The following is a 24,640-nucleotide window of genomic DNA, read 5'->3' on the forward strand; positions in this document are numbered from 1 at the left end:
CTGGGTGACAGAGTGAGACTCTGTCTCAAAAAAAAAAAAAAAAGTTACATAGGGGACAGTGGCAGGTGTCAAGGGCAGGCAGGGTCTCTCCTATCTCCAGGATAAACTCATAGGGGACTTAGATGCCATGTGGGTCCCTAATAGCCCTCCACTTGGTTCTTGCAGCCACTCTTATGTGTATCATTTCATGTCAGGCCTCTTCTTCCCAACCCACCCAGCCATCCCAGCCTGGCTGCCAACCCCACCTCCTCCAGCCCCTGTCACCCCATAATTGGGGCCAGGAGGCATGGGAGAGTCGCCATCTCTCGGTGCCATCTGTTGCATCTTTACAGATAACCATGGCTGGATGCGGCAGATCCTGGGGTGGAGCAGCCGCTGTTCAGAGCAGTGATCAAGACCTCCCCATCTCCACCCCTCAAGGAATCGGTTTTCTTCCATAGCCACATCAGGTGCTGTGCAGGAAGGAGTTGAAACGAGAAGCCAGGAGCAACGAGAAGGACACTAACATTTATTAAGCACTGCAGACTCTCACAGCACTCCCACGGAATCGATATTATTATCCCCATTCTGAAGACCAGGCAACTGAAGCTCAATGTTTAAGGAACTCACCGAAGTCACCAACTGATAAAAGTGATGGAAGCTGGGATTCAAATCCAAGCTAAACTTCCTTCCAAGCTTACTCCACAACACAGAGGTTGGGGAAAGGGGATAAAAAGAGAGGGGAGCCCAATTCCATTTCCACCCAGCTCCTGAGGCGGAGCTTGTCAGCACAGCTCTCTCCTTCCCAGAATAGGAAGATACCCATCAGAGGCAAGTCCTAGACACCAGCAGTGGTAACTCCCTGCCCCAAGGCAGCTGCAGACAGCCTATGGCTGTAGTTACTGCTCCCAAAGAGTGTTAGAATTCCCACTCCCAGCTTCGGGGCCACTCACACAAGGTGATTGAAGTGGAAACCAGAGACTCTCCACAATGCCCTCCTAGAGTAAATGAGGCTATGTAACTTTGTCCAAATGAGTAATTTGAAAACCTGGGGGCTCCCAGCTCCTGAAAAGGGAAGGATGTGGGGCCCTTTATATTCATACTCCACTTTGTGCAGCTCTCCCTTGTCTTATGATAGCCCTATTAAGAAATTCCTCTCCCAGCACGTCTCCTTCAAAGAGCTCTAGACCTGAGGCTGTCAGAGGCTTAGGACTCTGCCTATTAGTCCCAGGGTCTGGATGACCAGCAGGACACCTGGCATTCAGTGACCACTGGATTAGATAAATGAAACAGTGGGCAGAGTGCCACCCAATCTCCCCCTGAAGTTTGAAGAGGTCGAGAAGTGAGGCTGTCCAACTGCTGACCCTGCTTTCTGTCCACCTGGCCACCTAACCTTTTCTGGCTTCCACCTGCCCCTTTGCCATCCCTCCCCCCAGCCCACCCAGCCCATTTTCAGGCATACCTGGGCACGTGCTGGAATAGAAGCCCTCGTTCTTCAGAATGATCAACAGGGAGCCCCAGCCCAGGAGTACAGCAGAGAAGAAGAGGTTCTCCAGCACAGCCGTGCAGGCCATCCACCAGCGCCTCCGGTACGCCTGTTGCAGCGTGGGGGCCATGCTGGCCCCGAGCCTGCACAGAAACAGAGCGCTGGGTGAAGGGCCCCCCAGTGGCCCCAGGGAAGGGTCCTGCATCATGGTGGCACCCGAGACCTCTCGGGCCAGCCCGCGAGGAGCCCCTCATGGAGGCCCCATAGAGCCCTGGGCTTCCCAGCCGGTGCCAAGGAGCTGGCTCCGCGCGCACTAGCAGTGCCAGAGGTGCACGCGGCACGGGGCTCCCGCTGAGCCACTATCGGAAACAAGGAAGGTCCTGTCTGCGCGCTGCAGCTTCCTAGCAGGCTGCCGGGTTCTCTCACCCAGGCCAGGGCGCTCAGGGCCGGGCTGCTGGGGAGAAAGTCCGCATCTGCCCAGGTCCCCAGAGGACAGCAAGGGGCAGAGCGCGCTCTGAAGCACCGCGGGCCCATGTCCGGACTCTCGCGCCAGGAAAGACCCCTAGAAGCTGGCAGGAAGAAGGGCAAGTTCAAGGCTACCCTACGACCCCATCTTCCAGTTGCCCCTCCAAGACCTCTCCTTCCCTCTGGGGCCGGGCGACAGCAAGCCCTCCCCCTTTCCGTATCAGGTGACCCACGACCCTACAGTCTCTCGGGCCAAGCCAACAGCTGCCACGTGGAGGGAGACCCAGGACGGGCTCTCCTCGGTTCCCTCCTCCCCCGCGCGCCCCTCACTCACTCCGCAGGGCTCGGGGCACCAGGCTTTGCACCTCGGAACCCGCTTGCCCCCCTCCAGCCCCGGGAGGGGGCTCGGACTTCGGCAGGAAGTCTGGCGGCTGCTGACTTTATAAGGGCAGCGGTGGCGGATGGGCTGGCGGGCGGGTGTGTTTACCAAAGGGAGGGAAAGAGCCCCAGCTCCCCCCGCCGCGGCCGCTGCAGCCTCGGCGGGAGGAGAGGGAACGCGGGCGGCGCGGGGGCGGGGAGCGACAACTGGGATGAGACCGAGGAAAGCGGAGAGGAGAAGGGCAAGAAAGACCCAGAGAGAGGGGAGGAAGTACCAGTCACTTCTTCCAGGGGGACTCGGTATTCTCATCTGTGAAACGGGGCTTTGGGTTCAAGCGCTCCAGGAGGTCCGCTGGAACTCTGGCAAACGCGCAGCTCTAAGCAGAGGAAGTGCAGCGAGCGGGGACCCGGGAGGAAGAGAAGAGTCGGAGGGGTCAGAGAAAAGAAAAGGGAAGGACGCGCTTGGCGAGATGGGACACTGTGCCGCGGGACCGCGGGCGCAAGTAACGGTCTTTCCTTGGGAAGCCTGGCAGTGTCGGCGGGAGCCGGCCTCGGTGTCTCTCAGCCGACGCATAGCCGGAGACCCTACGCGCGCCCCCTCCCCGCCCACGCTGCTCACCTCCGGTCACCGGCAAATGAGCAGCCAGCAGCTGCGGACGCCTCCGGGAGCGCAACGCTTTCGCGGCGCGTCCGGAGTCCCGTGGGCCCAGCCCTGAGCCGCGCCGGCGCTGGGGTCTTCTCTGCGTGCAGGACCCGGCGGCCACGGAGCTTCAGCCTGACAGCCCGGTGGCCTCGCCTCCGCTGTCTCCTCGGAAGAAGCGGGGGAACTGGGAACCCGCCGGGCGCCAGAGGTCTGCGAAGCTGGGCTTGGATGAAGTGGATCTGCGGAGTTGATAGTTGTATTTACACGCGTCCGGAGCTGCGCCCCGAGGTGGGGGCGGGGGCTCCCTTCTTTTCCCCTCCCCTTAGGTCGAGTTTCACGCGCACGTGACTCGCCCGCTGGTCCCGGACACTCTCCCTCTGGCACAGCCCCAGCACCTACATTTCCACCCTGGACCCCCATCTTCTCCCCCAAGCCCCCAGACTAACATCAGGCAGCGCCCTCTGTATCCTTGTTCAAAACAAAGTGCGATTCGGCTGAAGCCGACTGACCGCGATTCAGGGCCGCCTTGGGTGGGGTTTTGAACTGTGCAGCTGGAAGCAGTGTTTTCCGAGAGGCAGAGTGGCACGGGTTTCTTTGGAGTTAGTCAGATCGAGGTCTGAGTCTTGACTTTTTAACTGACTACCCTGGGTTACCTAGGGCAAGTTACCTCTCTGAGCCTCAGCTTCCTCCTCTTTAAATTCGGTTAAAATGGAACCTACCTAACTGCCCAAAGGAATCGCGATTGTGATGCAGGTAAAATGCTAAGCATAGCATTTGGCATAGTAAGCATAATGTTAATTGTTGCTGCTGTCATTATTTCAGAAGACCTGGTGATCGGATGCTTCCAGATCAACAATTGATTGACTCCAGGTAAATCTCTCAGCCTCCCTGAGCCTCAGTATCCTCATCTGTAAAATAGACTACTATGGTGTGGAGTAATGAGAAGTAATCTCATTACATGTGAGTTTAATTGTGTGTTAAGAGTGCTGCTAATGCATGCTGAGCTTAATACCTAGGTGATGGGTTGATAGGTGCAATAAACCACCACGGCATACATTTACCTACGTAACAAACCTGCACATTCTGCACATGTACCCCAGAACTTAAAATAAAAATAAAATTTTTTTAAAAAAAGAGTGATACTGGTGGCCAGGTGTGGTGGTTCATGCCTGTAATCCCAGAACTTTGGGAGGCCAAGGCAGGAGGATCGCTTGAGCTCAGGAGTTCGAGACCAACCTGGACAACATGGTGAAACCCCGTCTCTACAAAAAAGAAAAAAAAATAGCCAGGCATGGTGGTGTGCACCTGCAGTCTCAGCTACCCAGCAGGCTGAAGTGGGAGGATCACTGAGCTGGAGAGATGGAGGCTGCAGTGAGCCAAGATCATGCCACTACACTCCAGCCTGGGTGACAGAGTAAGACTCTGTCTCAAAAACAAAACAAGAATGACTACAGAAAGCTCCAAGAAGGCCTCAGATAAAAGGGAACCCCTGAACAGATGAGCCACCAAGCCAAGAGAGGAACTAATGGCTACCATAGACAGGGCACTTTCCAAAATAAAAATACTGTTATTAATTCCTCAAGACATCATGGTCCCATTTAAACCTCATAGCTTTTCACAGAGGGAGAAACTGCAGGCTTGAAGCTGGAGCAAGGTTAGAGGTAGGATGCAGAGTCAGGTCGGCCTGGCATTTAAGTACGGCTCCTTCCATTCCTCCCAGAAGGAGAATGGCAAGAGCAAAGGCTTAGCTGTGGGAATGGCACAAGGAGTTCTCGGTGGCCAAAGCACATGTCAGGCTCTGATGGTTTAACTTCTTAAAATGCAATACTGCCTCCCAGAACTTCCAGATCAAGGTCAAACTCCTCAGCTCTACACAGGGGGACCTAGAGTCAACTTTCTAAGCTAGGAGAGTCATGGATCCCTTTGAGAATACAAAAGACAGTGGGCGCGGTGGCAGTGGCTCATGCCTGTAATCCCAACATTTTGGGAGGCTGAGGCAGGAGGATCACTTGAGCCCAGGAGTTCAAGACCTGCTTGGTCAACATAGTGAGACCCCTATTTCTACAAAAAATTCAGCTGAGCATGGTGGCATGTGCCTGTAGTCTCAGTTACTGGGGAGGCTGAAGTAGGATGATCCCTGAGCCTGGGAGGTCCAGGAAGCTGGAGTGAGCCGACATCTCGCCACTGCACTCCAGCCTGGGTGACAGAGACCCTGTCTCAAAAAAAAAAAAAAAAAGAAGAAATATGTTATTGATCTACTCTTGACAAAAATGCTTGTGTGAACATGGACACACACACTCATCAACATTCACATTTCAAGGTTTTCATGGACCCTTTCCATGAGGCTCTAGTGGTCCATGGACCCCCATGGCTGGAACACTTGCTCTTCCTCATCTCAACCCACATTTCCATGGAGTTGGACTGTCTGCTGCATGAGGACACAGGCCTCATTTGGTGTGTTCATTCACTGCTGTGTATCCCAGCACCCAGAACAGCACCTCACCTAAGGGGCACTCAGCACATGTGCAGTGAAGAGTCAGTCAGCTGGTTTCACACCTCCCAGTCTTTGCACCTGCTATTCCTTCTTGTGGGAATGACAGATTTCCTTCATTTCTTTTTTTTTTTTTTTTGACAGATTCCAGCTCTGTTGCCCGAGTTGGAGTACAGTGGCACGATCTCAGCTCACTGCAACCTCTGCCTCCCAGGTTCAAGCAATTCTCATGCCTCAGCCTCCCAAGTAGCTGGGATTACAGGTGCACACCACCACCTGTGAGCTGATATTTTTTTCTTTTCTTTTCTTTTTTCCTGAGACAGAGTCTCACTCTGTTGCCCAGGCTGGAGTGCAGTGGCGTGATCTCGGCTCACTGCAAGCTCCACCTCCCGGGTTCAAGTGATTCTCCTGCCTCAGCCTCCCAAGTAGCTGAGACTACAGGCGCGCACCACCATGCCTGGCTAATTTTTGTATTTTTTAGTAGAGGCGGGGTTTCACCATATTGGACAGGCTGGTCTCGAACTCCTGACCTCGTGATCCGCCCACGTTGGCCTCCCAAGGTGCTGGGATTACAGGTGTGAGCCACTGCACTCGGCCATTTTTTGTATTTTTTTAGTAGAGATGGGGTTTCACCATGTTGGCCAGGCTGGTCTTGAACTCTTGGCCTCACGTGATCCACCCACCTTGGCCACCCAAAGTGTTGGGATTACAGGCATGAACCACTGCGCTCAGCCTCCTTCTTCATTTCTAATGTACTCATCCTTCACAACTCAGCTCAAGTTTCACTTCTCTCTGGAAGCTCTACTCTAGGCTGGATTCAGGGCCTTGTCCACATACCCACCAAATACTCTGCTTACCTCTATGGAAGTCCCCACACTGATCTAGAATAATCAGCTTAGTTTTCTGCCCCCATCCCGCCCCATGAGATGTACATCTTGTGGGGGCAGGAACCACCACGTGGTAGGTGATTTGTGTGCCTGCTGCCTATCACAGGGCCTGGCGCCTAATAAGCTTGCGGCCAACATTTGTTGAATAAATGAAAAGGGAATGGTGGGAAAGGAAGCTGAAAAGGTAGGCTAAAATCAGTTTGGAATTACCTCTGGGAGGCCAAGGACTTTCAGTCTTGCAGGGTAGGTAACAGGAAACTCCTGGATTTTGTTTTCTTTTGGTTTTGTTTGTTTTTAATGAAGGGTAGCGTTATCGTCAGGTTTTTGTGTTTAATTAATGGAGCATATATTGGAAAGGACAGAGACCTTAAAGCAGTTAGGAGACCACCATAATAGTTCACATTTTGCAGCCATAAAAAGGAATGAGGCCAGGCATGGTGGCTCACTCCTGTAATCTTATCACTTCGGGAGGTTGAGGCAGGCGGATCACCTGAGGTCAGGAGTTTGAGACCAGCCTCACCAACATGGAGAAACCCCATCTCTACTAAAAATACAAAATTATCCAGGCGTGGTGGTACATGCCTGTAATCCCAGCTACTCAGGAGGCTGAGGCAGGAGAATAGCTTGAATCTGGGAGGCAGAGGTTGCGGTGAGCCGAGATCGTGCCATTGCATTGCAGGTACATGGATGAAGCTGGAAGCCATCATCCTCAGCAAACTAACACAGGAACAGAAAACCAAACACCGCATGTTCTCACTCATAAGTAGGAGCTGAACATTGAAAACACATGGACACAGAGGGGAACATCACACACTAGGGCCCGTTGGGGAGTGGGGGTTGGGGGGTAAGGGGAGGGAACTTAGAGGACGGGACAATAGGTGCAGCAAACCACCATGACACACGTATACATATGTGACAAACCTGCACATTCTGCACATGGATCCTGTTTTGTTTTAAGAAGAAATAAAGAAAAAACCAAGAAGAAACAAACAAACAAAAATAATTCCCATTTAAAACAATAAAAAATAGGCCAGGCATGGTGACTCAGGTCTATAATCCCAACACTTTGGGAGGCCAACGCGGGCAGATCTCTTGAGCCCAGGAGTTCAAGGCCAGCCTGGGCAACATGGCAAAACCCTGTCTCTACAAAAAATATAAAACAAACAAACAAAATAGCCAGGAGTGGTGGTGCATGCCTGTCATCCCAGCTACTCAGGTGGCTGAGGTGGGAGAATCACTTAAGCCTGGGAGGCGGAGGTAGCAGTGAGCTGAGATCGTGCCACTGCACTCCACCTGGAGCAACAGAGCAAGATTTTGTCTCTAAATAAATAAATAAAATAATAAAAAACAGAGAAGAGGAAAGACACCTGAGATATATTTCCATATCTGAATCAATAGGATTTATCAACGTTCTCCTCTACCCCCAAAACTAATTCCTTCCTAAACTCTGTTCTCCTGACACTACTCATAGGTTAAGTATAACAGCATTATCACATTGGCTGTCATGTGGGCTCCTGGCTAGAGGCTGCTTCACAGCTTAATGGACAAGAGCACTGAGACAGGGTGGGTCTAAATCCTGGCTCTGCAGCTGATTATTTGTGTGATTTTGTCCAAATCACTCCATCTCATGAGCCTCACTCTTCTAGTCTGTTAAGTGCTGAAAATAAAAGTATCCAATTCAATTCATTATTTAATGAATTATTTAGCCTAACAAATAGCTATTATAAATATTTAGGCTGGGCACAGTGGCTCACGCCTGTAATCCCAGCACTTTGGGAGGCCAAGGTGGGCAGATCACCTGAGGTCAGGAGTTTGAGACCAGCCTGACCAACATGGTGAAACCCCGTCTCTACTAAAAATACAAAAATTAGCTGGGTGTGGTGGCATGTGCCTGTAATCCCAGCTACTCAGGAGGCTGAGGCAGGAGAAACGCTTGAACCCAGGAGACAGAGGCTGCAGTGAGCCAAGATCGTGCCACTGCACTCTAGCCTGAGCAACAGAGCAAGACTCTGTCTCAAAAAAAAAAAAAAAATCTCTGCATGAAGAATGTACATAAAATGGTGCAGCCATTTCGGAAAACAGTTTGGCAGGTCCTCAAATAGTTAAACATAGAGTTACCACTATAGCCCAGCAATTCCACTCCTAAATATACTACACCCAAGAGAATTGAGAATATTTGTTAACACAAAAATGTGTATACAAGTATTTATAGCTGTATTATTCATTACAGCTAAAAAGTGCAAACATCCCAGCAGTCCATCAGCTGATGAACGGAGAAACAAAATGTGGTATACCCATACAATGTCATATTATTTGGCCATAAAAAGGAAGTACTGATACATGCTACAACATGGATGAACCTTGATAATGTTATTCTAAGTGAAAGAAACCAGACACAAAAGACCACATATTGTATGACTGCATTTATATGAAGTGCCCAGAATAGGCAAATCCACAGAGACAGAAAGTAGATTAGTGGTTGCCAGAGACTGGAGGGAGGAGATAATGGGAAATGTGGAATGACTGCTAATGGTATGGGGTTTCTTCTTGGGGTAATGAAAATGTTGTACAATTAGATAATGGTGATCATTGTAAAACTTTGTGAATATACAACATGCTGAATTTTATACTTTATTATATTTTATTTTTTTTGAGACAAGGTCTCGCTCTGTCACCCAGGCTGGAGTGCAGTGGCACGATCTCAGCTCACTGCAATCTCTCTGCCTCCCAGGCTCAAGCAATCCTCCTGCCTCAGCCTCCTGAGTACCTGACACTACAGCATGTGCTACCATGCCTGGACAATTTTTGCATTTTTAGTAGAGACAGGGTTTCGCTATGTTGCCCAGGCTGATTTTGAACTCCTGGACTCAAGTGCTCCGCCCACCTCAGCCTCCCAAAGTGCTAGGATTACAGGTGTAAGCCACCACTCCCGGCCTAAATTGTATTCTTTAAAAGACTGAATTGTATGGTGTGCGAATTATATCTCAATTTAAAAAAAACAAAACAAAAAAAAAAAAAAACCTTTGCGTGTGTCAGGCACTAGGGATTCGATGCTGAATAAGACACAGACCCTACCCTCAGAGAACACAGAGCCCAGCAGGAGAGAGTCACAGATGAATCAAGTGTTACATCATCTATAGGAAGCGCCATGGAAGAAAGACATGGTGCCATGAGAACATACGCTTAGAGAAGGGAATTTCATCTAGACTGGGGCTCAGGGAGGAATCTTTCAGGGTGATGCTTGTGCTCAGAGTTTTCCATGTCAGAATCAGTAGAATTTATCAATCCTCCAGAGGAGGAAACAGCAAATGAAAAATCTTACAACAGGAGGATGCGGAGACATTCCGAGAGCTGATCAAGGGCTGGTGTGAACAAAGCACATAGGATGCAGAGCCTGTGGTGTGAGGTTGCAGCTGGAAAGGTAAAACACTAATTACATTGGATCTTCTGAGACAATAAAGAGTATGCAATAATCTCAAACGACCGAAACTGACCTTCCTCCTCCCTAACTTGCTTGCTTCCACTGTTGCCCGTATCATAAAAGCACCACCCTCTTCTACCCAGTGGCTTAAGACACGAAACTCAAGTCATCCCAGGCTTTCTCCCCACCTCACTCTCCACATCCAGCCTATCAGCGAGCTTGTGGGTCCTACCACGTAAAGACTTCTCATCTCCAGCTACTACCATCCCCCAAGCCCAGATCACCATCAGCTCAGGCCTGGACTCCTGCAACCTTTCTAACCGGGTCTTCCCAATCCTACCCCCGCAACATGACCCCAATAGCCCATCAGAATGGACTAATCGAGATGTAGATTTGATCAGGCCACATCCCTTGAAAGGCTTCCTGTGACCCTCGGGGAAATGCACAAACTCCCAATGATGGCCCCTGAGTCCTGTGCCATCTGGGTCTGCCCTCTGCCCTCTGTGTCTTTGCCATGGTAACCTCCTTCACACCCATTAATACTCCATGCTCTCTCCTACCTCAAGTTCTTCCTGGGCTGGAACATTCTCTGCACTAGCCTAGCCAACTAACCCTTTAGATCTTTTGTTTGTTTGTTTGTTTGTTTGTTTGTTTTTGAGACAGTCTTGCTCTGTTGCCAGGCTGGAGTGCAATGGTGCAATCTATCTCGGCTCACTGCAACCTCTGCCTGCCGGGTTCAAGCAATTCTTCTGCCTTAGCGTCCTGAGTAGCTGAGACTATAGGCACCTACCATCACGCCCGGCTAATTTTTGTATTTTCAGTGGAGGTGGGTTTTCACCATGTTGGCCAGGCTGGTCTCGAACTCCTGGCCTCAAATGACCACCCTCCTCGGCCTCCTAAAGTGCTGGGATTACAAGCATGAGCCACTGTGCCCAGGCAACACTTCAGATCTTAATGATCATTTCCTTTAAGTGCCTGACCTCTTGTAGTAACTAGCCTGACTCCAGCAATGAATCCTTTTGCAATGTAACCTATATAACATCTGAGTTTCCCTTTGATAAAACTCATCATATATTTGTTCCTCTGACAGTTCAGAGGGCAAGGGCCTTTGCCCACCTTCCTCACCACTATCCTCTCACCACTTAACACAGAACTCACCACCCACCATGCCTCCTGCCTGACAAATTCCTAACCATCCTTCAAATCTCACTCACCTATTACCTTCTGGGAGGCAGTCTTCCCTGAGCACCAAGACAATGGGACACATTCCTTTATACACCCTGCTGAACATCTCTTTTTTGAGGGGCGGGTAGAGATGAGTGTCTCACTATGCTGCCCAGGCTGACCTCAAACTCCTGGCCTCAAGCGATCCTCCTGCCTTGGCCTCCCAAAATGCTGGGATTACAGGCATGAGCCACTGTACCTGACCGCAACTGGTTTAGATTTTCTATCTTCTTTGCCCCAGCACCTAAAACGATGCTTGTCACAAGACTCCTCTTAGGTCAGCCCACAAGAGCTCTTATGAAAATCTCTAAAACTGTGGCTGGCACAGTGGCTCACGCTTGTAATCCCCGCACTTTGGGAGGCCAAGGCGGGTGGATCATCTGAGGTCAGGAGTTTGAGATCAGCCTGACCAATAAGGTGAAACCCTGTCTCTACTAAAAATACAAAAATTAGCTGGGCATGGTGGCAGGCACCTGTAATACTGCTACTTGGAAGGCTGGGACAGGAGAATTGCTTGAACCCGGGAGGCGGAGGATGCAGTAAGCTGAGATTGTACCACTGCACTCCAGCCTGGGTGACAGAGCAAGACTCTGTCTCAAAATAAAAAAGAAAAAAAAAAAGAAAATCTCTAAAATTGCATGCAAAATTCTATGTGCATTCAGGAGACAGGCTGTGACTTTTGTCAGATTTTCAAAGAGGCCTAAGATCTGAAAGAAGAACCTTTTCCCCAGATGCTGAAGGAGCTTTAAACAGCGCTGTCAACACAGACTTCTACTGTGAAAAACCATCCCCCTCTAGAATAGAAGTTCCAAGAGGGCAAGAATCAAGGATCTTTACCTATTTTTTTCTTTCTTTCCTTTTTTTTTTTTTTTTTTTAATTGAGACAGGGTCTTTTTCTGTTGCTCAGGCTAGAGTGCAGTTTTGTGACCGTGGCTCACTGGAGCTTCAAACTCCTGGGCTCAAGCGATCTTCCCACCTCAGCCTCCTGAGCAGCTGGCACCACAGGCATGTGCCACTGTGCCCAACTAATTTTTTTTTTTTTTAGTTGAGACAGTGTCTCACTATTTTACCCAGGCTGGTCTCAACTCCTGGGCTCAAGCAGTCCTCCCACCTGGGCCTCCCAAAGTGCTGGGATTATAGATGTGAGCCCTATGCCTGGCCTCTTTACCTATTCTGTTAATTGATGTATTCCAAGTACCTGGAATGGTGCCTGACACATTCTTGATGTAGGTGTAAAATGACTAAATATAGTCTCAGACAACTGAAACAGTTATGTACATGGTATATGTATTGGTTATCTATTGCTGAGTAACAAATTATCCCAAAACATAGTAGCTTAAAACTACATGTATTATACTCTATCTCAGGAGATAGGGTATAGCTTAGCTGAGTGTTCTGTCTCAGGGTCTCTCACAAGCCTGCAAAGCATCAGCCAGGGCTGCCGTCATCTGAAAGCTCAAGTGGGGAAGGATTTGTCTCCAAGCTCACCCATATGATGAGTGACTCAGTTCCTTGCTGGGTAGAGGCTGCCCTCAGTTCCTTACCACCACATGGGCCTCTTCATAGGTCAGCTCACAACATGGATGCTTGCTAGCTTGCTTCATCAGAGTAAACAAAGGGAAGGACAAGACAGTAAGAAAGTGAGAGAGAGGGAGAGAGAGAGAATGAGAGGAAGATCAAGAGAGGGAAACAAACAAGACAGACTTTACACTCTTGTAATTTAACCTTAGAAGTAGCATCCCATTACCCTTGCTGTGTTCTGTTTATTAGAAGCAAGTATCCAGGTGTAGTACACACTCAAGGGAGAGGATTATACACAGGCATGAATACCAGGAAGGAGGGATCATTGGAGGCCCCAGTGATCTTTGAGGTTGCCTACCACAAGACATTTACAGAATGTTTTCTCATATAGCATCCAATTCATCTGGGCACCCAGAGCAGAAGGCACACACCAAATGCCTACATGTCAAGCAGATGATGACAGCGAGGGAAGACATCAGTGATGGGAGGTTTGGCAGACAACTGAGCCTCTGCCCATCCACCATCAGGCTGTTGCCGAGCAGGAATGCAGGTCAACTGTTGTCAGATCTTCCAAATTTTCTTTTTCTTTTTTTCGAGGCAGGGTCTTGCTCTGTCTCCCAGGCTAGAGTGCAGTGGTGCAATCTCATTTCACTGTAACCCCTGCCTCCCGGGTTCAAGTGATTCTCATGCCTCAGCATCCTGAGTAGCTGGAACTAAAGGCATGCACCACCAGCCCAGCTAATTTTTGTATTTTTAGTAGATACGGGGTTTCGCCATGTTGGTCAGGCTGGTCTCCAACTCCTGACCTCGGGTGATCTACCCACCTCAGCCTCCCAAAGTGCTGGGATTACAGGCGTGAGCCACCGCTTCTGGCCCAAATTTTCAAAAGAAGCTGACATCCTAATTCTTTGAGACATTCTCTGATTTTTAAAACTGATAAGCAAAAATGCACCTGAGGACTAGCAGTTTATGAATCCTCCCTATGGCAGAAAGTACCTACTTGTTTTGTTTTCTTTTTTTGAGACAGGGTCACACTCTGTCTCCCAGGCTGGAGTAGAGTGGTGCAATCTCAGTTCACTGTAACCTCTGCCTCCTGGGTTCAAGTGATTCTCGTGCCTCAGCCTCCCAAGTAGCTGGGATTACAGGCGTGCACCACCAGCCCAGCTAATTTTTGCATTTTTAGTAGAGATGGGGTTTTACCATGTTGGCCGGGCTGGTCTCAAACTCCTGGCCTCAAGTGATCCACCCTCCTCGGCCTCCCAAAGTGCTGGGATTAAAAGCGTGAGCCACCACCCCTGGCCGGCCTAATTGTTATTTCTTATACCCTTTTATGTGTGTTCCAGCCCTCCTACTGTCCACTCCACCCCCATCCCACTTGCTCATAGGGATCTAACTCACTTTGGGCGCTTTCCACAGCTCTTCACATGTAGCAGGCCAACAATATTGTTGAATGAAATATGAAACTCGACACATATCTCACTAGGGACCATTTCCCCCAGTCCTAGAGCAGTGGTTAAAAGTGGCCTCTGGTGTCTAAGTTAGAATCCTGGCTGGACAACTTGCATGCTGCATGAACTTAGGCAAGTTACTAGCTTTTGAGAGCCTCAGCTTCTTCAGCTGGGAACGATTGTACCTGCCTTACAGAGTTGTTAGATGGATTAGCTGAAATAATACACGTGAAGAATTTAGCACAGAGCTTAGCACACAATAGCAACCCAACAAATGATTTACTGTCACTCACATCGTCCCCTTTCTCTCCTCACTGGCTTCCTGCCTCATCACCCTTTAGTGCTTTATCTTCCATCTTCTGCCACTGTCTACCTGGCTGGCAGCTCGAGTGAGCCACCAAAACGCAAACGTGTCATTGTCACTGAACGATTTAAACTCTTCAATAGTTTGCTGTTGTCCTTAGTAGGAGAAAATCCAAACTCCTTATCACAGTTCACCAAGCTCTTTTGGAGCAAAATCTGCCCAGCCTCCAAGCCTCATCTTCACCTCTCTTCACACCCAGCACTCCAGCCACACTGAAGCTGAAGCTCTCCTTTCCTGAATGCTCCACCTCCACACTTACGCCACTTCAACAAAGCCTTTGCAAGTGCCATTGCCTCCAGCTGGAACCTCTAATCCCCACTCCTACCACCCCTTCTAGATGTTCTGGCTATGTGCTAACAGAGAATTCTTGATGTTTCTTGCTAAACCTGAGGGTATGCACAATATCGATTTTCCTCACCTGTCCTCTCTTTCAAGAACAAGGCCAGCAAAGAATAGGCAAATGATAAAATGTGCGGAATTGTCCACAGCAGTGCTGACCATGAGCAGACGGCGCCACCTGTTGACCAAAATCTGCACTTCAGTACCTGGAAAGGAACTTTCTTTCTTTCTACCCTAAAGACTAGTAATGGCTTTGAAGTTTTCCAGTACATCCGGTATCTTCACCTCCCACCAAACTTAGCAATGAAAAAAGCTAATGTTATTGGATACTCAATGTATGCTAGGCACTCTCCTAAGTGCTTTGGTTATTAACACGTTTAATTTTTGCAACTACCTAATGAGGTGGGTAACCTTACTGCCATTTTATGATGGGGTAATTGAGGCACAGAGCAGTTAAAAAGCCTTACTCAAGATCACACTGCTAGAAAATTTCAGTAGAAACTCAAAGTTAAGCAGTCTGGCTTGAACCTGCACTCACAAGCCCCAAACTCACTGCCTCTATTCTGTCTCCTTTACTCCAATGACCTAGTTACATCCCAGACACTTCTACCAGGAAGGCCCACTTTGAAGGTACTGCTGTCACAGTGGCACTGGTGTCAACCACAGTCCCATCTGGAGACAGCAAACGCAGCAGTCAGGTCTGGCCTCCATGGTATTGTTCTGCTTGTGTGACCTCCAGCAAGCTTGCTCCAGCAAGCAACTTACTTCTTAAATCCTCAGCTTGCTCATCTGTAAAACAGGATTAGTCAGGGGGCTAACCCTATTTTACAGATGCGGAAGCTAAAGCACACAAAAGTGACAGGTGCAGGGCCACACAAAAAGCAGCAGACAGCAGGCAAACCTAAGCTGTCTTACTTTTTTTTGAGATGGAGTCTCACTCTGTTGCCCAGGCTGGAGGACAGTGGCACAATCTCAGCTCATGCAACCTCCGCCTCCTGGGTTCAAGCGATTCTCCTGCCTCAGCCTCCTGAGTAGCTGGGATTACAGGCACCCGCCACTACACCCAGCTAATTTTTGTATTTTTAGTAGAGACGGGGTTTTGCCATGTTGGCCAGGCTGGTCTTGAACTCCTGACCTCAAGTGATCCACCCACCTCAGCCTCCCAAAGTGCTGAGATTACAGGCATGAGCCACCTTGCCCGGCCTGTCTTACTCTTAAACACTCATTAATCTCCCTCTGCTGGTAGGGGCTGTGTCTGTTTTCTTTACTCTCAAATGCCAAGCACACTGCTTTGCACATAGTAGGTGTCAACAAACTTGTTTATATATATATATATATATATATATATATATATACACATACATACACACACAGTCACATTCCAGTGTGACAAATACTCCTTCACCAGGAGACAGCGCTACCACTCCGGGATCTTGAAGACTCTCTACAGAGAGCCTAGGCCTGGCAGTCTTCACAGATGACACCCAACAGGGAGCACGTTTATTAAAGTGGGAAGGGGTGGGGTACACCCCAGGGTGTATACTGACAGGGACCTCATGCAGGCCCAGAGCTCTGCTGCACCCTCTTCATCAGCTCTTCATCCTGCATAGACAACTCTGTCAACTTTTTGCCCATCCGCTCATGGATGTCCAGGTACTTAGAGACACATCGGTCCAGGCACACAGACTCGCCCTTGGAGAGCTCTGCTTCCTTGTAGTGAGGAGGCACACACTTCCGGTGGCAGGCACTGGTCATTCTGGAGGGAGGGAGGGGCAAGGTCATGTCAGCAGCATCCTGTGACATCCCAGGAACCTTGACCATTCCAGCCCTGCTATATTGATTTCACCTCCCCCAAGAAAGCAGTGTAAATCCTCAGTTTACACCTCAACCACTGGAAGGTCCTTGCAAGTAGGAAACTTGTCTAAGTCCATGTATATGACTAACTAAGTAGAAACCATTTGTTGAGGACTGGCTACATGCCAGGCATCCTGCTAAGTGCTTTACCTGCATTCTGTTATGCAATGCTTACAATAACCCTAAGAGACATGTATCCCCATTTTACAGATGAGGAAATTAAGGCAAACAGAGGCTCAGTAATTTTCTAAGGATCACACAGAGCTGGGTTATGAAGCCAGGTCATCTGACCTCACAGTCTACACTTAAAAATCCTTCTAATTTATAGCCTTCAGGATAAACCAACCAATCAAGAGAGCTTAAGCCAATAAAAATAGCAGACATTTCACTAAGTGTTGGGCTTGAGGCTAAGGGCTTTCATATATTTTTAGATTTAATATTTATGATGTCCTATGAGGTAGGTATCATTATGTCTTCTTCATAATGAGGAAACCAATTGTCAAACAGTGCAAGTAACATGTCCAATTATACTGCTGGTGATTGGTGGAGCCAGGATTTGTTCCCAAATTTGCCAAATGGTTATGAGCACTAGTTGCAGAATCAGACTGAGGTGCTAGTTCTGGCATTGTTACTGACCAGCTGCCGACCCTAAGGAAGTTACTTAACCTCTAGAATCATCAATTTCCTCATTTTAAGACGGGACTAATAAAATTAACCCACTGGATTATTTTGAAGATTAACAAGTGCCTGACACAGAATAAAGGGTTTTAAAATGTTAACTACTAAATGGGCTGGCTATGTGCTATTTGTCAAGAGGCAAATACTCAGCTTTTCTTGGAACCTAACCAGAGCCTGGATTGGAGTTTCTCTTCCTGCTTGGCTCCTGCATTGCCAGTTCCATCCCCATCTAAATGCCCAACTCATTCTAGTGACCCTTTACTGCATCTACATTAGGATCAACCTTGAAGGTGGGTGTGGGGAGGGTAAGCATGGGCCTCAGGCTCCCCTACATTCAGGAAGGAATTTGTCATAAGTCATTCACCTTCGATAAGGGTGACCAAGACTTATTTTCCAAGACAGGGTAGCACATAGTTCTCTTTACCTGTTGTACATATCGGCCATCATCTCCACCTCCAGCTCCGCAGCCAGCTGTTGGGCCCTGAGAGGATCCATCTCAGCCTAGCACCGTGGAAGGGATCTCCTTCTGGCCTCCTAATCCTGGGAGCAGACATCACCATCAGCACCCACCGCCGCCGTTCACTCTCCTACCCCTGGGGCTAGAGGATACAGAGGACTCACAGGGCGCCAGACCACCACGGGCCACTAACCTCAGTGAGCTTAACCACCCCATTTCACGGATGTGGAAACTGAGGCCTAGCCCAAGGTCGCACAGGACGTCTATGGCGAGCCTGGAAATCGAGCCCCGGATCTCTGATGCCCCAGTTCCTGGAGGTCACCTCTATTCAGGAGATCGAGGACCGGAGGAGAACTCTCTAACCCACGAACCTGAACCTCCAGGGCCCTGGGAATGGGATCATACGCTGAACAGAGGCGACCGGGACCCAGCCCAAAGGCTACACCTCTGAAATGGCGACGCCATCATCAGGGCCACATTGAATTCAGAGGTCATGTGTCACTTACCACTGCCTGGGACGGATCACAATGCCCACGGAGACCCCAACTTCTGACAAATACTATAACGTTACCCGCCTCCCGAGAGGCTCCAGCGGAAGCACGTGGGTTACTTCCGGGAGGAAAGTCCCGCCTCTTCTTTGATTCAAACTCGCTTCCGGAATTAAATACCAACGAGACGGCGCCGGGAACTCGGCGATCATAGAGAGGGAGCGGCTGGCGCCGGGCGAAGAGGAAGGCGACTTGCCAGTGCTAGAGAGGACACCAAAGTACCATAGAAGCTTGGGCGGGGTGCAGAGCGTCTGCAGCCCGATCAGAATTCAAGTCCTTTGGGATGTCACCGAGCGGCTTCAGTTTATTGGTTCTGTAGGAAGAGGCGTGGCGACAGACACCTGTGAACCTCACCCCCGTTCCAGACAGCCGACTCCTGTGCGCAAATCAGGCGTGGAGAAGGAAGAACGCCCCCAAACAGCGGTTCTGTTTTTGTTTCGCGTTAAAATCACCTGGAACGTTTTTAAACATCCCAGTGCCCAGGACTCACCTCATTTCAATTAAATCAGAATCTCTGGGAGTACAGTTTAAAATTCCTCAGGCAGCAATACAATTTAAAATTCCCCAGGTGATTCGTATGTACAGCCAAATTTGAGAAGCAGTGCTCCACGGGACGTTGTGCGATTACTGCTGTGTGTAGGTCACACTAAGCCCCGTCTGGGGTTGCAAAGATAAGCGAGATAGGCTTCCTGTTCGCAGAAAGACAAGACGTGTAAAATATGTTTTCTTCAACAGTTAGAGGTCCTCAGCCACAAAGAGATAATAAAAGCAATTTCGGCTGCCACCAGGGCTAATCTTGGGTGAGGGAAAGAAGGGTACTGGTGAACTTTCCAACTTTCAAGACTTAATGTGTTCTTCAAACTGCACCATTCACTCATTCCCCACTAAAAAGAAGGAAACAAGGAAACAATACTCAGTCCCTTGATTTGTCACACAATTTCCTGGTAAAATAAATTTACAAGATGTAAATTAATGACGCAAGGGCACATTGCCCATTGGAAAAGGTGGGCTAGACATTTTCTGTGTGGTCATCATAAGCTTCCCTAATTGTCCAAGACCATCCTAATTTTAAACAATTGACCTTTCTACTGCTTTGAAGACTCATCTTTGCCAAACTTGTGCCCTGATTTTTAAAGATTGGGGTATAACATTCATAAAGTGCATAAAATACACGAATGTTAAGCTTAATTAAATATATATGTATCTATATATGTACATTTGTATAACCGCCATCCAGATCAAGATATAAAATACTTCCTGCACCCCAAAAAGTTATCTTGTGTTCCTTCCCCATCAATACCCCCTCTCGAAGTTAACCACTATTCTGACCTCTATCACCATCAATTAGTTTTCCTTGTTCTTGAACTTCGTGTAAATGGAATTATACATTATTTTCTATTTTGTGCCTGACTTCTTTAGCTCAATGTACCTGTAAGATTTCCTCCATATTGTTGTGTGCATCTGTTATTCCTTCTGTTTTATTGCTGTCTAGTGTTTGATTGTATGAGTATGCCACAATTCATCTATCCATTCTCCCGTTGGTGGATGTTTGGATTGTTTCCAGTTTTTGCCTATTATGCAATAATGCTGCTATGATACTCTTGTACAGATGGACATATCTTGCCTTGGTTTTTGCCTTTGAAAATATAGTCAACATTGGCCGGGTGCAGTGGCTCACGCCTGTAATCCCAGCACTTTGGGAGGCTGAGGTGGGTGGATCACCTGAGGTCAGGAGTTCGAGACCAGCCTGGCCAACTTGGTGAAACCCCATCTCTACTAAAAATACAAAAAAGTAGCCCGGTGTGGTGACGGGTGCTTGTAATCCCAGCTACTCAAGAGGCTAAGCAGGAGGCTAAGGCAGGAGAAACACTTGAACCCGGGAGGCAGAGGTTGCAGTGAGCCAAGATCGCACCATTGCACTCCAGCCTGGGCAACAAGAGTGAAACTCCGACCCCCCACTCCCCGCAAAAAAGAAACATTATGGAAAGTTAAGAAACTGCGTGGGAAAAGGAGATGGTTTCTTACAAGAGGAATCTTGCAATATCTACTGGGCCTTATGAAAGGTTGCATACTGTATGATTTCATTTAAGTAACATTCTCAAAATCACAAAATTATAGAGATGGAGAAGAGATTTCTGATTGTCTAGTGTTAGGGTTGATGGGGAGATAGAAGTGTACCTGTAAAGGGTAGCACAAGAGAGATCTTTGTGTTGATGGATAATTCTGTATCCTGATTGTGGTGGTGGTTACAAGAATCTACACAGGTGATAAGATGTCATAGAACTGGCAGGGTGCGGTGGCTCACGCCTGTAATCCCAGCACTGTGGGAGGCCCAGGCGAGCGAATCACAAGGTAGGAGTTCGAGACCAGCCTTGTTGGTGAAACTCCGTCTCTACTAAAAATACAAAAAATTAGCTGGGGGTAGTGGCGGGCACCTGTAACCCCAGCTACTCAGGAGCCTGAGGCAGGAGAATCGTTTGAACCCGGGAGGTGGAGGTTGCAGTGAGCCGAGATCGTGCCACTGCACTCCAGCCCAGGCGACAGAGTGAGACTCCGTCTCAAAAAAAAAAAAAAAGCCAGGCGCGGTGGCTCACACCTGTAATCCCAACACTTTGGGAGGCCGAGGCGGGTGGATCACGAGGTCAGGAGATCGAGACCATCCTGGTTAACATGGTGAAACCCCGTCTCTACTAAAATAAAAAAAATCAGCCGGGTGTGGTGGCATGCGCCTATAGTCCCAGCTACTCAGGAGGGCGAGACAGGAGAATCGCTTGAACCCGGGAGGCGGGAGGCAGAAGTTGCAGTGAGCCGAGATTGTGCCACTGCACTCCAGCTTGGGCGACAGAGCAAGACTCGGTCTAAAAAAAAAAAAGAAAGAAAAAAAAAGTCATAGAACTACTACACACACACATTGTACCAATATAAATTATCTGGCTTTGATATTGAATATAGTTATGTTAGATTTAACCTTTAGTGGAAGTTGGTAAAGGGCGTACAGGACCTCTCTGTACTATTAATGCAACTTCCTGTGAAACTATAATTATTTCTAAATAAAAAGTTTTAAAAATCTCTACAAAAAAGAAAACAAATAAGATTATACAAGTATGAGTAAGAGCTGGCCATAAAGAAAGAAAGAAAAATATTTATATAAAAGATTGTGTAAGTAAAGTACCTAGTCCATGGTAGATGCTCAATAAAAATAAATCATTGTTTTCATTCTTTTTCATTTTTAAACTTTCACTGGGGCAAATTTATTTTTATTTTTACTTAGGATTTTTGAGGCAGGATCTTGCCTTGTCACCCAGGCTTGAGTGCAATGGTATGATCAGTGCTCACTGCAATCGTGAACTCCTTGGCTTAAGCAATCCTCTTACCTCAGCCTCCTAAGTAGCTGGAACTAGAGGCATGAGCCACCATGCCTGGCTAATTTTTTTTTTTAAGAGATAGGGTCTCATCATGTTTCCCAGGCTGGTTTCAAACTCCTGGGCTCAAACAATCCTCCTGTCTTGGCCTCTCAAAGTGCTGGGATTACAGGCATGAGCCACCCCATGCCCAGATGGAATATTTAAAACATACAGAAAAGCAGAGAGAACAGGACATTGAGCTTCCATATATTCATCACCAGGACTTAGGAATTGTTAACATTTGTCCATATTTTCTTCATCTATTTTTATCTCTAACAGATAAAGCCCTTTTATTTATTTATTTTTTCCTTGAGACAGGGTCTCTGTCGCTCAGCCTGGAGTGCAGAGACCCAATCATAGCTCACTGTTAGCTTAAACTCCTGGGCTCAAGCAATCCTCCCATCTCAGCCTCCTGAATAGCTAGGACTACAGGCGCAAGCCACCATGCCTGAGTGGTTTTTAAAATTTTTTGTAGAGATAGGGTCTTGCTATGTTGTCCAGGCTGGTTTCAAACTCCTGGCCTCAAGCGATCCTCCTGCCTCAGCCTCCCAAAGCACTGGCATTACAGGCATGAGTCACTGCACTGGGCCCTGCTTAACAAAAAAAATTTTTTTAAACGGAGTCTCGCTCTGTCACCAGACTGGAGGATAGTGGCACGATCTCCGCTCACTACAGCCTCTGCCTCCCAGGTTCAAGGGATTCTCCTGACTCAGCCTCCCAAGTAGCTGGGACTACAGGCGCATGCCACCACACCCAGCTAATTTTTGTGTTTTTAGTAGAGATGGGGTTTCACCATGTTGGCCAGGATGGTCTCAGTCTCCTGACCTCATGATCCACCTGCCTTGGCCTCCCAAAGTGCTTTATACACCGCGCCCGGCCAACAAATTTTTAAGTGCACAAAATAGTATTGTTAACTATATGTACCATATTGTACACAGATTTCTAGAACTTATTCATCTTGCATAACTGAAATTGTATACCCATTGAACAGCAACTCTCCATCTCCCCAGCTGCTCAGCCTCTGGAAAACCATTGCTCTTATTGATGATGATGCTATTGTTATTATGATTATTTACTATGAGACTGTGTCTTTCCTCTATGTGGAGACCTACAGGTAGGAATCTCCAATGGTCCCAGTTGAATTGCTTCTTGTAGAAGACAGTTTAGATAGCCTCAGACTTTGAAGATATCCTTAGACTCCAGATATGTCATCCAAAGCTACTGATCTCTGTCAACACCATGCTGAAACTCTGGCTCCTCATTCTACCCTGCATTCTACCCCTTCCCAACCTTGCAAAGGTGAGTTGTATATTTGTCATTCATCGTGGGTCAGTATTGTCCTCTTGGGTGGGACCCCAGCCCCAGAAGAAGAGATGCAGAGTTTTCATCTAGAATCACTTCAAGTGGGCCCTGACCACTCATGAGAGGTGCAGAGAATACAAAAACAGAGGTTTCCTGTAACCTCCCTTGTGATGAAATGGCTTACGTCATTCTATTCACTTGAAGAAAAAGCTGGCCCTGGCTTAATCACTGTCTGCACTATTACTGTTTCCCATCACTTCTTCTTACCTCCATGGCTGATACTGTGGTCCAAGCCACCACCATCCTGCACCAGGGTCACTGAGTTTGTCTCCTGACTGCTCTCCCCACTTCTATCCATGCTTCTTCACTTTATTCTCAAAACAGCATCCATCCAGAGTATATCTGCCCAAGATTGGCGAGTTTTTCCACATCTCTCTCTGGCTTGCTGGTTTTTTGTTTAAATTCATTTCTCTTATCCTACTGTCATTAGATATTGAAAAGAGCAAAATACTCTGGGCATGGTGGCTCATGCCTATAATCCCAGCCGGGTTTCAAGTATTACTAGAGCCGGCTGGCAACCATTAATATTGGACTATTTCATGACTAGTACCCAAACCTAGATGCACAGAAAGATCTCTCTTTCAGATCATCCCGGGCAAGACCTCCAAGTTCCTGTCATATTTCTGTTAATTAATTAGTTATTTCATTCAGTATGTATTTATCAAGTACCTAATATGAGCCAGGCAATTCTGCTGGGATCTAGGCATACAGCCATGAGTATGGTAGATAAAATCCCTGCCCTCATGGAGCTTAAAGCCTAGTGAGAGAGTCAGATAATAAGGAAATGAATAAGGTAATTTTAGATTTAGTATTATGAGGACAATAAAAACTGCTGAAATGAGGGAGAGGAATTGAAGGTCATGGAAAACCTCTCTGAGGGAATGAAATTTCAGCTAAGTCCAGAAGAATGAGAGGGAGGCAGTCTTACAAAGAGTAGAAGGAAAAACCAGTCCTGAGTCTGAAAAGGGATGGATTTATTTAAGGAATAGGAAGGAGGCCAGTGTGGCCCAGTGGTGGGGCTTGGGGTAGGAGGACTGGGGGGGATCCCAAGCTTCGTGGGAGTGTCCTCTGCACCCATTCTCCAAAAGTAGTGCCTTTCTTAGATTGTAAAACACACAGAGAAAGTGAAGACTTTTTTTTGAGATGGAGTCTCTGTCACCCAAGCTGGAGTGCAGTGACTTGCTGCAACCTCTGCCTCCCAGGTTCAAGCAGTTCTCGTGCCTCAGCCTCCCAAGTAGCTGAGATTACAGGCATGCGCCACCAAGCCCGGCCAATTTTTGTATTTGTAGTAGAGACAGGGTTTCACCCTGTTGACCATGCTGTTCTTGAACTCCTGGCTTCAAGCAATCCACCCGCCTCGGCTGCCCAAAGTGCTGGGATTACAGGCATGAGCCACCATGCCCAGGCTTGTTTTGTTTTTTTCTTAGCAAAATGTCAGTTCAGTATAAAAATGTGTTCAGAGCCTACTGTGTACCTGTCACTTCAGCTCAAAATAGAACTCAGGAGTTTTGTATTTTCCAGGCTCCGTCCAGTGATCCGTCAGCTTGTCCCATCACTTTTGCCCTCTCTGCCCCTCCCCCTCCAAATCTCTCAGTCAACTGTGAGCCCCAAGACACATCCCCTGTGTTGGCAGCTGCCCTACTCGCCCCCTCCTTAGCCCAGCCTTAAGCAGCTGCTTTTGTCTGAGGACG

General features: G+C 48.1%; 2 protein-coding genes and 1 pseudogene across 9 annotated transcripts in view, besides 3 other annotated features; all 3 read right to left on the minus strand.

The window, feature by feature from the left end:
- The window catches only part of SLC43A1 (solute carrier family 43 member 1), a 31,169-nt gene extending 27,983 nt beyond the window's left edge, over positions 1–3,186 (minus strand). For 2 of the 7 annotated variants that reach the window (XM_011545320.4, XM_005274358.6), the window contains exons 1-3: positions 2,928–3,186; positions 2,584–2,685; positions 1,442–1,608 (exon numbers count right to left, since the gene is read on the minus strand). In XM_011545320.4, the coding sequence (XP_011543622.1) occupies positions 1,442–1,608; positions 2,584–2,618 (202 nt within the window). In that variant the 5' untranslated portion in view covers positions 2,619–2,685; positions 2,928–3,186. Of the gene's footprint in view, positions 1–1,441; positions 1,609–2,264; positions 2,394–2,583; positions 2,686–2,927 lie in introns of those variants that run through there. The other 5 variants (XM_017018452.2, NM_003627.6, XM_047427777.1 and 2 more) reach the window with 3 other exon arrangements.
- Positions 3,340–3,409: an enhancer, noted in NCBI's record as "active region_4719". NCBI's record gives its function as "activates an Ori minimal core promoter by ATAC-STARR-seq in GM12878 lymphoblastoid cells {active_cell/tissue: GM12878}" and the evidence as "EXISTENCE:reporter gene assay evidence [ECO:0000049][PMID:35858748]".
- Positions 13,186–13,783: an enhancer, noted in NCBI's record as "H3K27ac hESC enhancer chr11:57293175-57293772 (GRCh37/hg19 assembly coordinates)". NCBI's record gives its function as "activates a minimal SCP1, AML or CMV promoter by ChIP-STARR-seq in primed H9 embryonic stem cells {active_cell/tissue: H9 hESC(primed)}" and the evidence as "EXISTENCE:reporter gene assay evidence [ECO:0000049][PMID:30033119]".
- RN7SL605P (RNA, 7SL, cytoplasmic 605, pseudogene) lies at positions 15,569–15,849 on the minus strand (annotated as a pseudogene).
- TIMM10 (translocase of inner mitochondrial membrane 10) lies at positions 15,948–18,238 on the minus strand. 2 transcript variants are annotated; one of them, NM_012456.3, is made up of 3 exons: positions 18,142–18,238; positions 17,603–17,718; positions 15,948–16,402 (listed from the first exon to the last, which is right to left on the minus strand). In NM_012456.3, the coding sequence occupies exons 2-3, from the start codon at positions 17,671–17,673 to the stop codon at positions 16,201–16,203; spliced, it is 273 nt and encodes a 90-aa protein (NP_036588.1). In that variant the 5' UTR covers positions 17,674–17,718; positions 18,142–18,238; the 3' UTR covers positions 15,948–16,200. The 2 variants fall into 2 exon arrangements, with proteins under 2 accessions (NP_036588.1, XP_024304204.1); XM_024448436.2 differs by having other exon boundaries at positions 17,603–17,777.
- Positions 18,238–18,417: an enhancer, noted in NCBI's record as "active region_4720". NCBI's record gives its function as "activates an Ori minimal core promoter by ATAC-STARR-seq in GM12878 lymphoblastoid cells {active_cell/tissue: GM12878}" and the evidence as "EXISTENCE:reporter gene assay evidence [ECO:0000049][PMID:35858748]".

Source organism: Homo sapiens, chromosome 11, assembly GCF_000001405.40.
Source record: "Homo sapiens chromosome 11, GRCh38.p14 Primary Assembly".
NCBI classification, from domain to species: Eukaryota; Metazoa; Chordata; class Mammalia; order Primates; family Hominidae; genus Homo; species Homo sapiens.